General features: G+C 38.6%; 1 protein-coding gene across 64 annotated transcripts in view; it reads left to right on the top strand.

The window, feature by feature from the left end:
- EIF4G3 (eukaryotic translation initiation factor 4 gamma 3) overlaps positions 1 to 15,278 on the top strand; it is a 370,606-nt gene that overhangs the window by 202,894 nt on the left and 152,434 nt on the right. For all 64 annotated transcript variants that reach the window (XM_047433321.1, XM_047433366.1, XM_047433324.1 and 61 more), the window contains 2 exons: positions 905 to 1,002; positions 4,408 to 4,530. In XM_047433321.1, the coding sequence (XP_047289277.1) occupies positions 905 to 1,002; positions 4,408 to 4,530 (221 nt within the window). The remainder of the gene's footprint in view (positions 1 to 904; positions 1,003 to 4,407; positions 4,531 to 15,278) is intronic.

The following is a 15,278-nucleotide window of genomic DNA, read 5'->3' as shown; positions in this document are numbered from 1 at the left end:
CCTTGAGTCTTCTTTCTCTCACACCAGTATCCAATTCATCAGCAAATCTATAGGCTCTACCCTCAAACCATCCAGTATTTGACCCCTTCTCCACACCTCTACTCCAAACAATTTGGCTTGATAGTAATTATAATAATAGTCTTAAGTTTTGAAAGTTAAAAACAGCTCATTGGGAGTACAAGGAGTGGGGGAAGAAGATAATTTCAGGCAGATGGGCAGTACAGTCAAAAGTTGAAGAGATTGGTGTACTCAAAGGATAGGAGTTAGGAGTAGGTTATAGCTAGAACAAAGATGTGGATTCAAGAATGATAGAAAATGTAATTTGGAACCTGGATTCTAAGTATCTGGACTTTATCTTAAGGCCATATGTTCTGAGCCTTTTTTCCACCCCAGTATTCGGAAATTTGCTAATCCTTTATGTACCTCCCTATGGCAGTAGTTCCCCATGAGTAAGGAGAAGAATTAGATCACCCCTACTTTCCAAGATGATCAGATATATTCCCTTCTGTCCCTGACAAAACCCATAAACAAACATACACATACACCCTTGTGTGAGAGTCACAGTTGCATGTGGTAAGCCTCAGAATAATATTTTTTAAAAGCATCACTATAGCATGATCCATGTTTTAGAAAGACAACTGTGGTGTGGATCTGTAGGAACCGAGTATTTAGTGGTTTTCATATTGGATGTTTGTGAATGTTTGAAGACATTACATATTTTGGGAATAATTTCTTGACCACTTCAGTAACTGGAGGAGAGCTAGTGGAAAAAGATGATGAAGAATGCTTAGTGTTTTTGTTTTTACCCTTTTAAGGGGATTGTGCAGAGACACAGTGTCATTGCTAGTTCTGTAGTGTTTGACAAAATAACTGAATGCCTATTTAATTTTTTCCAACTTTTTAGGAACGCCTTTTTACCCAAGTCAGCCGGTGTATCAGTCAGCACCTATCATAGTGCCTACGCAGCAACAGCCGCCTCCAGCCAAGAGAGAGAAAAAAACTGTAAGAGATTTTTATTACTTTTTCTTATTTTAAATCTAAAATCTATTCACTTATCAGATAAGTTTACGTAGTCATTATTCATCTCAATTCACAAATTACTGTGCCTTTTTTTTTTTTATTCTTCCCTTATAGTCACACCACTTCACCTGGAGGATTTGTATGGGCATGTAATTAGAAGTTGTTCATACCATTTGCATAATATCATCTTTAATTATTCACTGAGCTAGGTTTGCTACATGACAACATGTACTCCACCTTTAGAACTGGGAGGGTTTAGTGGGCTAAGGTTTTACTCAGTGTGAGGAATTTAAGCTCAGTTCTCACATCTAGACTCTCCTTTAACACCAGTCTTTTTCTTTTTTTTTTTGAGATGGAGTCTCACTCTGTAGCCCAAGCTGGAGTGCAGTGGCGCGATCTCAGCTGAACTGCACCCTCTGCTTCTGGGGCTCAAGCGATTCTCATGCCTCAGCCTCCCAAGTAGTTGGGACTACAGGCACAAGCCACCAGGCCCGGCTAATTTTTTGTATTTTAGTAGAGGTGGGATTTCGCCATGTTGCCCAGGGTGATCTCGAACTCCTGAGCTCAAGCAATCTGCCTACCTTGGCCTCCCAAAGTGCTGGGATTATAGGTGTGAGCCACCGTGCCTGGCCAACACCAGTTTTAATCAGCTCTCCATTCAAGTATGAATTGACAGAAGAAAAAAATAGCACAAGGAAAAAGAACTGAGATATTAAGGATAGCAAGAAAAATCCTTCCTGTGAAATAGATATCTTTTAAGAAACAAAAAACAGAGTTTAGAAAATGTATTCTAATTGTTTTTTATAATTTATAGGGGTTTTGTCTTTGTCTAATGAGGCAGGCCCAAGAGAATTGGAGTGTAGTAATATAAAAGTCAAATGGCAGAAAAATTGTAGAAGAGTGGCTTGCAATTCCTTACGCAACAGAACAGACAAAATGGGTGATCTTTTTATTCAAGAGAGACTCCCACATTCACACGAGTAAGATAGGTGGGGTGATTTATAGCAATACTCTTGAATTACTCTAACTTAATAAAAATTAATGAGGTTCAGGCCGGGTACAGTGGCTCACACCTGTAACCCCAGCACTTTGGAGGCCGAGATGGGTAGATCACTTGAGGTAAGGAGCTCGAGACCAACCTGGCCAACATGGCGAAAACCCATCTCTACTGAAAATACAAAAATTAGCTGGGTGTGGAGGCTCGTGCCTATAATTCCAGCTACTCGGGAGGCTGAGGCACGAGAATCACTTGAAACTGGGAGGGGGAGGTTGCAGTGAGATCGTGCCACTGCACTCCAGCCTGGGCAACAGTGTGAACTGTATCTCAAGTAAACAAACAAGAAAATAATAGTGAGGTTCAAGACTTTGGTTTAAAACTTGTTTTTATCATTAGAAACAAATTACTTGTGCATATATCATAATGAACAGGACATGACAATGTATCATGACACTACAGTCAAGAAACTATATGCTTTGGTAATGTTGAATCAGCATGATAGAAGTTGGACTTGAAGAACACTCTCAGAATGCAGAAAAATGAATAGAAGAAATGAAACCGGAAGACAGTAGTTACAGATGTTTCTAAAGAAGAAAGTAGAATAAATGAATTAAAGCTATACTTAAAACTTTATTAGAAATAATTTTCCATACCTAAACAATAGCTGGCATTAGAAGTCTTAATTGAAGGACTCCCCTAAAAGCGTCCAGATCCAGGTAGTTTCATTAGTGAATTCCTTGAAATTCTCAAGAAGTGTGGACTGCCTTGATTAAGGTATGGTGGTAATAAACAACAGTGGGTCCTTTATATCTTAGCACTCTCCCAGAATAGAATGCCTAGTCGCAGACACTTACCTCCTTTACAGCACCAACTCCACTGACATCTTTAAGCATAGGGTAGCCTTTAAAAAAATTAAAATAAGACCATACACACTTTGTGCTTATTGCATTTTTTCACCTACCAGCACATCTTAATGATTATTCTGTGTCAGTTCATGTAGATCTGCCTCATTCTGTTTTTTTGAGACAAAGTCTCGCTCTTTTCCCCCAGGCTGGAGTGCAGTGGCGTGATCTCAGCTCACTGCAACCTCCGCCTCCTGGGTTCAAGCGATTCTCCTGCCTCAATCTCCCAAGTAGCTGGGATTACAGGCGCCTGCCACCGCACCCAGCTAATTTTTGTATTTTTAGTAGAGACAGGGTTTCACCATGTTGGCCAGGCTGGTCTCAAACTCCTGACCTCAGGTCATCCGCCCACCTCAGCCTCCCAAAGTGGTGGGATTACAGGCATGAGCCACTGCGCCCGGCCAGATCTGCCTCACTCTTTTTACTGGCTGTTAAGTATTTAATTGTAAGGACGTAAGATAATTTTTTTTTTTAAATGGAGTCTTGCCCTGTCGCCCAGGCTGGAGTGCAGTGGCGCGATCTTGGCTCACTGCAAGCTCCGCCTCTCAGGTTCAAGTGATTCTCCTGCCTCAGCCTCCTGAGTAGCTGAGACTACAGGCATGTGCTACCACGCCCAGCTAATTTTTTGTATTGTTAGTAGAGATGGAGTTTCATCGTGTTAGCCAGGCTGGTCTTGATCTCCTGACCTTATGATCCGCCCGCCTCAGCCTCCCAAAGTGCTGGGATTACAGGCGTGAGCCACCGCGCCTGGCCGACGTATGATAATTTTTGAGCTATTCTGTTCTCGATCAACCTTTTTCCAGTCTTTGCTGGAAAAGGCATGATTGCAGTCAGCATTATTACATTTGTATATAAGGTTGTTGTCAGAATAAATTATTCCTAACTCGTAGGGTATTTATATTTTTTATTTTGGTAAAGAACTTCAGAGAATTATTTACAGCGTTTAAAACTTTATTCTACGCCAGGTACCGTGGTTCACACCTGTAATCCTGGCACGGGAGGCTGAGGCACGAGAATCGCTTGAACCTGGGTGGCGGAGATTGCAGTGAGCCGAGATTGCGCCACTGCACTCCAGCCTGGGTGATAGAGCGAGACTGTCTCCAAAAAAGAAAAAAAAAGGAACTTTTATCTATGCAGTAACTTTCATATATTAAAAGTATTTTATGAAACTTGTATGTTAAATATGGTAAATAAAATCAGTCTTACAGGTTCTTACAAAACAAGTATAAATATTAATAGTTTGCCTTTTTGACCTAGAAATCCAGCCAACTAGGTTTCATTTTAGCTTGTTATTCTAATTAGTTCATGTCAGAGCTAATGGCCTACATTTATCTGATGGATCTGTGATTGAAATAAAGTCAAATGTGGTGATTATCACCTTTGATATTTGACAGGTTTCCCAGTTTGCACCTTTAACTCACTTATATGCCTATAAATTTGCTACACAGACACTCATCTGTACATATGTCATTTTATTTAACCTTATAGATAAGAATTCGGGATCCAAACCAGGGAGGTAAAGACATAACAGAGGAGATTATGTCTGGAGGTGGCAGCAGAAATCCTACTCCACCCATAGGAAGACCCACGTCCACACCTACTCCTCCTCAGGTAAGACAGAGTGAGCTGTAATGGATGGCACTATTTGTTCACTAACCTCTACTGAACTCTTCTTTCTTCTATAGCCACTTTCTGTACTTTTCATTTCCATCAGTTGTCTCGCAGCCTCGAATATCTAAATGGTATTTAAACAGACATGTTTTTTCTCTTTGCAAATTATAATATTTTTAAATTTTTATTGGTAATATATTTATGTATTGTTTTCACAATCAGAGCACAGGTGAGGTGCTGCCACTCTTCTTAATGAACTATCGCATGATGCCAAAAGGAGCTGCATTCTTGTAGAAACCTCATCATTAAATGAGTATTTCACATTTCACATGGAACCTTAGGATTTAAGTGCTGCACCTTTTGTTAACGCAAACATTAAGGTTGAGAATTTAACATTTTTACCAAACAGTGTTGCTTGAGATGATTTCCTGTGTTATTGAGAGCATATTAGGATGTATAACAGGTATACTTCTTACCTTTTAGAACTACATAAATGAGCTTCTTGAGTGCAGAGTGTCTTCTTTAATTACAGTCATCCCTTGGTATCTACAGGGGATTTGTTCAAAGATGCCCCCTCCACAGTACCAAAATTCGTGGTTGTTCAAGTTCATTATGTAAAATGGCGTAGTATTTGCATATAAACAGTGCACATCCTCCCATATACTTTAAATAATCTCTAAATTACTTATAATATCTAATACAGTGTAAGTAGTTGTCATACTGTAGTATTTTAAAATTTCTATTGTGTTTTTATTTAAAAATGTTTTTTTCTAAATATTTTTTATCCACCGTTGGTTGAATCTCTGAATGTGGAACTTATTAATAAATTGTCAGTTAGGCACCTTTTTCTTCCTGGTGAAGAATGTGGTTATCATAATCTCCTAAGATGTTACTTTCTTGTTTTTAGAAATCAAGATATTGTAGAGGAAACTGGAGTTTAGTAAACTATAATAGAGATTAGATTCCGCAAATCTGACAAGATTTGTATTTCAAGGCCGGGCGCGTTGGCTCATGCCTGTAATCCCACCACTTTGGGAGGCTGAGGTGGGCCAAATCACCCGAGGTCTGGAGTTCGAGACCAATCTAGCCAACATGGTGAAACCCCATCTGTACTAAAAATACAAAAATTAGCTGGGCGTGGTCGCACATGCCTGTAATCCCAGGTACTCAGGAAGCTGAGGCAGGAGAATCGTTTGAACCCAGGAGACGGAGGCTGTGGTGAGCCGAGATTGTGCTGCTGTACTCACCAGCCTGGGCAATAGAGAGAGAGAGACTCTGTCTTAAAAAAAAAAAAAAAAGATTTGTATTTCATTCCTCCTATGTCACTTTGCATTTTGATAAATGATATAGAGACACGTGGTTTTCAGATCTTAAAAATTATCTAAAGTGAAGCCAATTGCAGGTGCAGTGGCACATGCCGATAGTCCCAGCTATTTGGGAGGCTAAACAGGAGGATCCCTTGATTCCAGCTTGGGCAACATAGCAAGATCCTGTCCCTTAAAAAAAATTGTCTAAAGTGAAAGCCTAATGTCTAGAAACAGATAAAAAGAAAGCTATTAAGGAGTAGGGGGCTGCTCTCTTTGCTCTTTTATGCCTGGATGGTAAAGGGGTTCCTTGGAGCCCAGTTTACAGACAAGTGATATGGATGATCACATAGAAAGCATTTCAGAATGATAGACTATTGACTTCATTTTAGTAGTACAGACAAAAATAAAAAGTTCATAAAAATATTCTTAAATATCAAAATCACAAACAGCTGGCTGAGTTTAGAGCCCCTTGGAAATCTGTGGATTTGAGAAAGACTTAATTTTGGTCCTTTGTTGTAATGATATGTTTTCTCTTGGAAATGATGGTATCTGGCTGACATTTATCTCAGTCTTTCATTATCCAGATGAGTATATATGTCCATCTGGACATGTGTGTTGTAAGGTCATGTTAATAATTCTTCATCACTCCTCATTATTCCCCTAGGGACATTCCAATTTTGGAATGATTAAGCAGGTCTTATATTTAGTCTCTTCCCTGGAAGTGAGCATGGGATAAGCAAAATTTTCAAATTGAAGTAATCTATATATGTGCTCTGTTAGGTGGGGGCACACTATAGCAAAACTTTGCAATTAGTTGATCAGTGCAGTCAAATTTTAGTCTGTATTTTCAAACATATTAAAATGTTACTACTGTCAAGCCAGATAAAGGATAGACAATCCTTTGTTGATTTCTGTTTAAATTCTCAATTTGGACATGTATGTGTCTTTTTGCACTTAAATGCCCTGTGGGGTGTGATTGGTTTTCTGTAACTTTCCAAGCTTGGTTCCCACCCTCTTCTGGTATCCCTCTGTGTTTAGCTACAGACATCTTTTTGTTCTGTGTCTTTCCCCAGAGACTGTGGTTCTGAATATGAGTGTATATTTCTCTATAATCATAAAGCACATCGAATCTACACTTTCAACAGATGAAGGCCATCAGTCAATAGTAGTAATTTGGTAGTTCTTTTTGGGAAGTGTAACATCAGTTATAAAGCATAAGTTTATTAGGTGAATTTCATGCTTTTAAATCCAAATGCATGAAATTCATGGAATGAACGAATAGCTTTTTAACAGAGACGTGTACTAGAGATATTTCATTTTCCTCTTAAGAAAAACAGTAGCACAAGCATAATGATGACAACTGACATTTGACCTCATTTTCTGGAGCATCATAGAAAGGATGCAGTGGCTCACACCTGTAATCCTAGCACTTTGGGAGGCTGAGGCGGGCAGATCACTTGAGGTCAGAAGTTCGAAACCACCCTAGCCAACATGGTGAAACCTTGTCTCTGCTAAAAGTACAAAAAAACTAGCCAGGGGTGGTGGCAGGCACCTGTAATCCCAGCTACTCGGGAGGCTGAGACAGGAGAATCGCTTGAACCCGGGAGGCAGAGGTTGCAGTGAGCTGAGAGCACCACTGCATTCCAGCCTGGGCAACAGAGAGAGACTGTGTCTCAAAAAAAAAAAAAAAATGTTGACCCATTGTTTCAGAAGAAGCTAGAAATGTTTAGTTATGTGTAAAAAAGCTGCAAGTTATAAATATTGGCAACTAATTTCCTTAACAAAATAGCAATCTGCCAGCCAAAGAAGACTCATTAGATTTAACTTCAGTTTTACTAGTTTTCAATTTTGACATCAATCCAGATAAATACAGAATCATATCTGGTTAGAAGACTACAGATGAGACAGCCCTCTGCATCAGAATTTAGGATTCAACAGTAAATACTGTAGTATTGGCCTTAAAGTACCTGCTTTGAGTTAGACATAATTGCTTATGCTGTGGATAACCAAGCCTTTCCCTATCACCGAGGGAAGTCCCAGTCTCTGTAAAGGGAAACAGAAGACCTGTTACTAAGATCTGACTGGTGCAGAGGTGACCAAGTGGGGCAGAATTGTAGCACAGATACCAGAGACCCATTAATGGTGGTGGTACATGTGAAATAGAACAGGGAAGAGGTTTAAAACTTTGACTTGGAATCAGACATAACTGGGTTTCATGTGTGGGTTCCACTGCTTAGCTTTGTAACTTTAGCCCAATTACTTTATCCCAGAGCATTGCTTTCTACATTTAAAAAGTAAAACCTATCACACAGAGAGGATTAAATGAGACAAAATACTTAAAAATTGTTTAAGTTCAGTGCCTGGTGCGCAATGAATATTCAGCAAATATCTATTACTAATATTACAATTATTATTATTTCAGGAGGCACAGAGAATGACTGGAAGAACGTGGGAAGGCTTTACCACAGAGACACCATTTGATCTAATTTTCATGGGTATTCACAAAATGAAAGGGAAAGGGGTATTGAGGCAGAGGAACAGCATGTGCAAAAATGGGAAATTAGATGAAGGGAGGCTATTATTATCATATTTCAGGTGAGAAATTCATTGAAGGAGAGGAAGCCAGTTGGAGAGATGTTTAGCAATTAGTTACTAACTAGATAAGGACTCTAAAAAGGATGACCATATAATTTACCATCTAAATTGGGGTGATTGTGGAAATGAATGGCAATGCTATTGTTAATGCCAGCACAGCAGGCGTAATCAGTACTGCACATGTAAATGGGGATGCAAGTTTTCTCCAGATGTAAGGGAGAGAGAGAGTCAGGGATGCCTCTTCATGTTTAAAAATACGTCTTTTGTAGTGAAACATAATATTGAGTATACATGGGGAAGTTTAAAGAGCGGGATATAATGAGTTTGCTTTTGGCAGGTGGTCAAGCCATTGTGATTTTTATCTAATTTGGTCTTGAGGTTTCTCTGTCAAGAGTGGCCATAAACCAGGATAGCCACTCTCTAAGAGAGCCCTGACCAGGGAAAAGTTATGTTTGGGTGTGTTTGTCAGGTGAGACATAATGAGGAAGTGAAACCAAAATGCATGAAACAGAAAAAAATTTACTACTTCCTAATCCCAGAGAGGTTAGCAGTGCTGATGGGAGGCTGATAGGGGAGCTCTGAAGACAGCAGGGAACTCACCCAGCAGGTGGAGAGAGAGAGAAAGACGACTCGTGGGACTGTCCCTTTATTAAGGTCCATGTCCTCCCTTAGGCTTCCCCACTGGAGTTATGGATTTGCTAGTTTGAAGAAAACACTTTCAAAGGGTGAACTTACTTACAGGACTCTGGTGTTAACCATTAGGTTTTATCATGGTCAGCAGCTATGGGATATGTTGTGTTTTGGGTCAGTGAGATGAGGAACAAACGGCCTCTTTCACAAGCAACTACACAGGAAGGAAATATTTGAACTAGGCCAAATGTGAAAGGGTTTCAAAAACATATGCTAGCCCTAAAAGTGGATGCCGAGGGAGCAATTATATTAAATTTGTGACACAAGCTATGAGTTAATTGAGGGAAACTGCATTGGGTTTCTGTGAGGAGAATGGAGAGGAGAAACAAATTTTTGCTGCTGCTGTTTTTACCCTAATGAGAAGTAGACAGAATTTGAAACTGTTCTTCAAAGTCTTAAAATTTTCTGTGGGTTAGCTAGTAGAGATTTTGTATCTCACATATTTAGGAAATATGCATATGTGTATATACATGTTCCCTGTATATACACATTGGATCCCTGTATATGCACAGAGGATCACAGTGCGTAGATGGAGGTGCATGGCTGGATATCATGGCTCACGAGAACACTTGCTGCTGGTTTTCACTGTGTTACTTAGATTTATGACCTTGGGTCAGAACATTAAGTTCTTAAAACCCCTATTTTTTCATCTGTAAAATGAGGAATTGTACGAAATAATCTGAGAGTTCCCTTTTAGTTCTTACCTATTAAAGTGGGAAAGAAGGAAGAATTTTGTTACTCGCTCAGTATCAAATCTCTCAACTCCTGATGATGACAGTAAGGCATAAGGAATATCCCTGTATTTAGAAATATGCTAGCTATTATGCCTAATAGTCTTCATTGAAACCCGGTAGTGTAAAAATAAATACATGATGCCATGTCAAGATTGTCTACTTCCAAATAGGATGAATGGTGGATCAAAAATCACTTAATTTTTTTTTTTTTTTTTTGAGATGGAGTCTCACTCACTCTGTCACCCAGGCTAGAGTGCAAGTGCGGTGGCACAATCTCGGCTCACTGCAGCCTTTGCCTCCTGAGTAGCTGGAATTACAGGCATGTGCCACCACGCCAGCTAATTTTTGTATTTTTAGTAGAGACAGGGTTTCATCGTGTTGACCCAGGCTGGTCTCGAACACCTGACCTCAAGTGATCTGCTCGCCTCAGCCTCCCAAAGCTCTAGGATTACAGGCATGAGCCACCATGCCCGGCCAAAGATCACTTAATTTTTAAAAATGAATTATGTACCTTTCTTCCTTGATATACTCTTTTTCCCCCCTGCTTCTAGAATTATTATTGTAATGAAACACAGTTATGACATGGGAGAGAGTCCTATGCTATGGGGCTTTGGGGTAGGAAATTATGGATTGATAGCGTATCTTAGGAAAGATACAATCTCTCCTACCATTTGGGAAAATTACTAAAGTCAGCAGGTTATTCAGTCTTTTGTTGAGCTGCTTATGAAGTTGATACCTGCAAACCTTAAATTCCATGACCATTTATTAATTACAGTTGACCCTTGAACAAAATGGGTTCGTTTATATGATAATTTTTTTCAGTAAATACATTGGGAAATTTTTTGGACATTGTGATAATTTGAAAACTTCCAGATGACATATTGCCTAAAATTATCAAAAAAAGAAAAATTTAGGTATGTCATGAATACACAAAATATATGTAGATACTGGTCTGTGTTTTCATTTAGTGCCATAAAATATATACAAATCTATTATAAAAGTTAAAATTTATCAAAACTTAGGTACACAAATACAGACCATACAGAGAGACCATACAGACCATACAGAGAGAAGTGTCAACAGACACAAATATGCAATCTGGACATGGTGGTGCACGCCTGTAATCCCAGCACTTTGGAAAACTGAGGTGGAAGGGTTGCTTCAGCCCAGGAGTATGAGACCAGCCTGGGCAGCATAGCAAGACCTTGTCTCTCAAAAAAAAAAAAAACAAAAAAAAAACAAAACTACAAGAGGCAATATTACATCCTAACTTCATAAAATTAACTGTAGTACATACTGTACTAATGTAATTTTATAGCCACCTCCTGTTGCTATTTTAGTAAGCTCAAGGGTTGAGAGTATCCGCTTAAAATACCCTGTGACACTAATCATCTCCAGATGAGCAGTTCATCTCTCCTGTAAATTGTGCCTCATAGTAAAAAGTAATTTCTCTTTGTTGTTACATATTTTTTCATTGTGCTTAGTGCATTGCCATAAACCTTGAATAACACCATGGGACCCATACAGAGTGCCACCAGTGATGCTGGCAGTACTTCCAAGAGGCAGAGAAAAGTGCTAACATTACAAGAAAAAGTTGAGTTGCTTGATATCAACTTTTTGATATCAAGATATGCTTGATATCTACCATAGATTGAGATCTGCAGCTGTGGTTGACCACCATTTTAGACAGATGATTTATTTTATAAACAGATGATGTAAACTTATGATACTGATAAATACAGCATAGTATTGGAAATGTATTTTCTCTTCCTGATGGTTTTCTTAAACACATTTTCTTCTAGCTTACATTATTGTAAGAATATAGTATATAATATATAAAACATACATACTGAGAAAAAAATATGTTTTATCGGTAAGGCTTTCAGTCAGCAGTAGGCTGTTACCAGTTAAGTTTTTGGGGAGTCAAAAGTTATACACAGATTTTCAACTGTGTGGGGTCAGTTCCTCTAGCTCCTGAATTGTTCAAGGGTCAACTGTAGTTCATTTCATGGTTTAGCAGTAATAGTTTCCTAGAATTGGGTCTATAGCTTCGGTTATGATATTCATGTTATATGTTAATATGTGCAGTAAATAGTTACATTCCTGCATGAAGAATTTGAAGGTGATACCTAGTATAATGTAAACAAATCCAATCTTTTAAAATTTCATTTTGTCATCTCAGTCATAGGCACTGATAAATTAATAGCATTCTGTACCTTAAAGCATACAGGTATGGTTTTTGTTTTAGTGGTGACTACGATAAAAATAGTGGTTACTAAATTAAATTATATTTTTCTTTATCTTTAATGAAATAACTTATCATTAGTAACCTCCCTTGACTTAAATGGTTCTTTTCAATAATATGTAAAGCCTTGTAGACTTTAAATAGGTATCTAAACTGGGGTGGATTCTCTCAAAAGTTTTTAAATGGGACATTTGAAAAGTGTCCTATTCTCTGTTCGTCATGATGAGCAGAGATCCTTGCTTTGTTATGCTGTTTCATAGATTAAAATGAATTTGTATACACTATATGGTTTGATAGAGGAAATAAGATCTAGTGTTTGGTAGATCAGTAAGGTGACTATAGTTTACGATAATCCATTGTACATTTTGAAATAGCTAGCAGAGAAGAATTCAAATGCTCCTAGCATAAAGAAAAGACAAATATTTATCTTTGAATTATGTGAATGTGTTAAATTTTTGTGGGTACACTGAAACTGTGTACATCTGTTACGCAGTAATAAAAATTATTATTATTATTTTTTTGAGACGGAGTCTTGCTCTGTCACCAGGCTGGAGTGCAGTTGTGCAATCTTGGCTCTCTGCAACCTCTGCCTCCCTGGTTCAAGCGATTCTCCTGCCTCAGCCTCCCGAGTAGCTGGGATTACAGGCATGCACCACCATGCCCAGCTAATTTTTGTGTTTTTAGTAGAGACGGGGTTTCACCACATTGGCCAGGATGGTCTTGATCTCCTGACCTCATGATCCGCCCACCTCGGCCTCCCAAAGTGCTGGGATTACAGGCGTGAGCCACCACACCTGGCCAATAAAAATTATTTTTAAGGAATTTGCACACAGACCATCAAAGACCTACTCATTGCTTATCTGACAGAATAAAAAACAGTATCTTGTTTAATTTTTGTGTATTCTGTGAAGTTAAGAAGTTTTCGATGTTCACCAGTTATTTGTGGGTGTATGAATTATCTGTTGTACACGTTTCTTTTGGGTGATGATTTTTGTCTGACAGATTTATAAGAGGGCTTTACATGTTAAATAAATACTTTGACATATGTTAACATTTTTTTCTTGTTTGATGATTGTGTTTTAGCTTTGTTAATCGTGCCTTCTGTCATACGGAATTGTTAAATTTTCTGTTTCATTTATTTTTTTGAGACAGGGTCTTGTCTGTTGCCCTGGCTGGAGTGCTGTGACACAGTCACAGCTCACTGCAGCCTTGACATCCTGGGCTCAAGCAATCCTCCCACCTCCACCTCAGCCTTCTGAGTAGCTGGGACTACATGCACATGCCACCATGCCTGGCTAATGTTTTTTATTTTCAGTAAAGATGAGGTCTCGTTATGTTGCCCAGACTGGTCTCAAACTCCTGAATTCAAGCGATAATCCTGCCTCAGCCTCCCAGATTTCTGCTATGAGCCACTGCACCAGCTGAATTTTTTTTTTATTTTGAAACAGAGTCTCTGTTGCCCAGGCTAGAGTTCAGTGGCATGATCTTGGCTCACTGCAACCTCCGCCTCCTGGGTTCAAGTGATTCTTCTGTCTCAGCCTCCTGAGTAGCTGGGATTACAGGTGCCTGCCACCATGCCCGGCTAATTTTTGTATTTTTAGTAGAGACAGGGTTTCGCCTGTTGGCCAGGCTGGTTTTGAACTCCTGACCTCAGTTGATCTGCCCACCTCAGCCTCCCAAAGTGCTGGGATTACAGGCATGAGCCACCGTGCCCAGGCAGAATTTATTTTTGATATATACACTTATATATCAAAATGCACTTAGATTAGTTCCACATCTTTGCAATTGTGAATTGTACTGCTATAAACATACGTTTTCAAATCTCTTTTTCATATGATGACTTCGTTTCCTTTGTGTAGATACCCAGTAGTGGGGTTGCTGGATCAAATGGTAGATCTACTTTTAGCTCTTTAAGGAATCTTTGTACTGTTTTCCATAGAGGTTATACATTCCCACCAGTTTTACATTCCCACCAGCAGCATATAAGCATTCCCTTTTCCCCATATCCATGCCAGCATCTATTGTTTTTTGACTTTTTAATAATGGTCATTCTTGCAGCAGTAAGATGGTATCGCTTTGTGGTTTCAATTTGCATTTCCTTGATCATTAGTGATGTTAAGCATGCTTTCATGTTGTTTGTAGGCCAATTTATGTATCTTTTTTTGAGAAATGTCTATTCATGTCCTTTGCCCACTTTTTGATGGGATTATTATTATTATTATTATTATTATTATTATTATTATTATTGCTGATTTGTTTGAGTTCCTTGTAGATTTCCTTCATCAGATGTGTAGTTTGCATCTCTATGGGTTGTCTTTTTACTCTATTGTTTCTTTTGCTGTGCAAAAGGTTTTTAGTTTAATTAGGTTCTATTTATTTGCGTTTTTGTTGCATTTGCTTTGGGGTCTTACTCATGAATTATTTGCCTGGGCTGATGTCTAGAAGAGTTTTTTCCAATGTTATCTTCTAGAATTTTTACAGTTTCAGGTCTTATATTTAAGTCTTTGATCTATCTTGAGTTGACTTTTGTACAAGGTGAGAAATAGGGATCGTTTCATTCTTTTACATGAGGTTTGCCAGTTTTGCCAGCACCATTTGTTAAATAGGGTGTCTATTCCTCAATTTATGTTTTTATATGCTTTGTTGAAGATCAGTTGGCTGTACTTTCTTGGCTTTACTTCTGGGTTCTGTATTCTGTTCCATTAGTTATTTGCCTACTTTTATACCAGTACTACGCTGTTTTGTTAACTATAACCTTGTATGATTTGAAGTAATTGTGATGCCCCCAGATTTCTCCTTTTTGCCTAGGATTGCTTTGGCTACTTGGGCCCTTTTTTGGTTCCATATGAATTTTAGGATTTTTTTTTCTGATTCTGTGAAACGTTGGTATTTTGATGAGAATTACATTGAATCTGTAGATTGCTTTTAGTAGTATGGCCATTTTCACAACATTGATTCTTCCAGTCTATGATTATGGGATGCATTTCCATTTGTTTGTGTCATCTGTGATTTCTTTCAGCAGCGTTTTGTATTTCTCCTTGTAGAGATTTTCACCTCCTTAGTTAAGTATATTCCTAGGTATTTCATTTTATTTTTGCAGCTGTGGTAAAAGGTATTGAATTCTTGATTTAATTCTCAGCTTGGTCGTTGTTGGTGTATAGCAGTGCTACTGATTTG

Source organism: Homo sapiens, chromosome 1 (assembly GCF_000001405.40).
Source record: "Homo sapiens chromosome 1, GRCh38.p14 Primary Assembly".
Classification (NCBI taxonomy): domain Eukaryota; kingdom Metazoa; phylum Chordata; class Mammalia; order Primates; family Hominidae; genus Homo; species Homo sapiens.
This window is presented reverse-complemented; position numbering and strand designations above follow the sequence as displayed.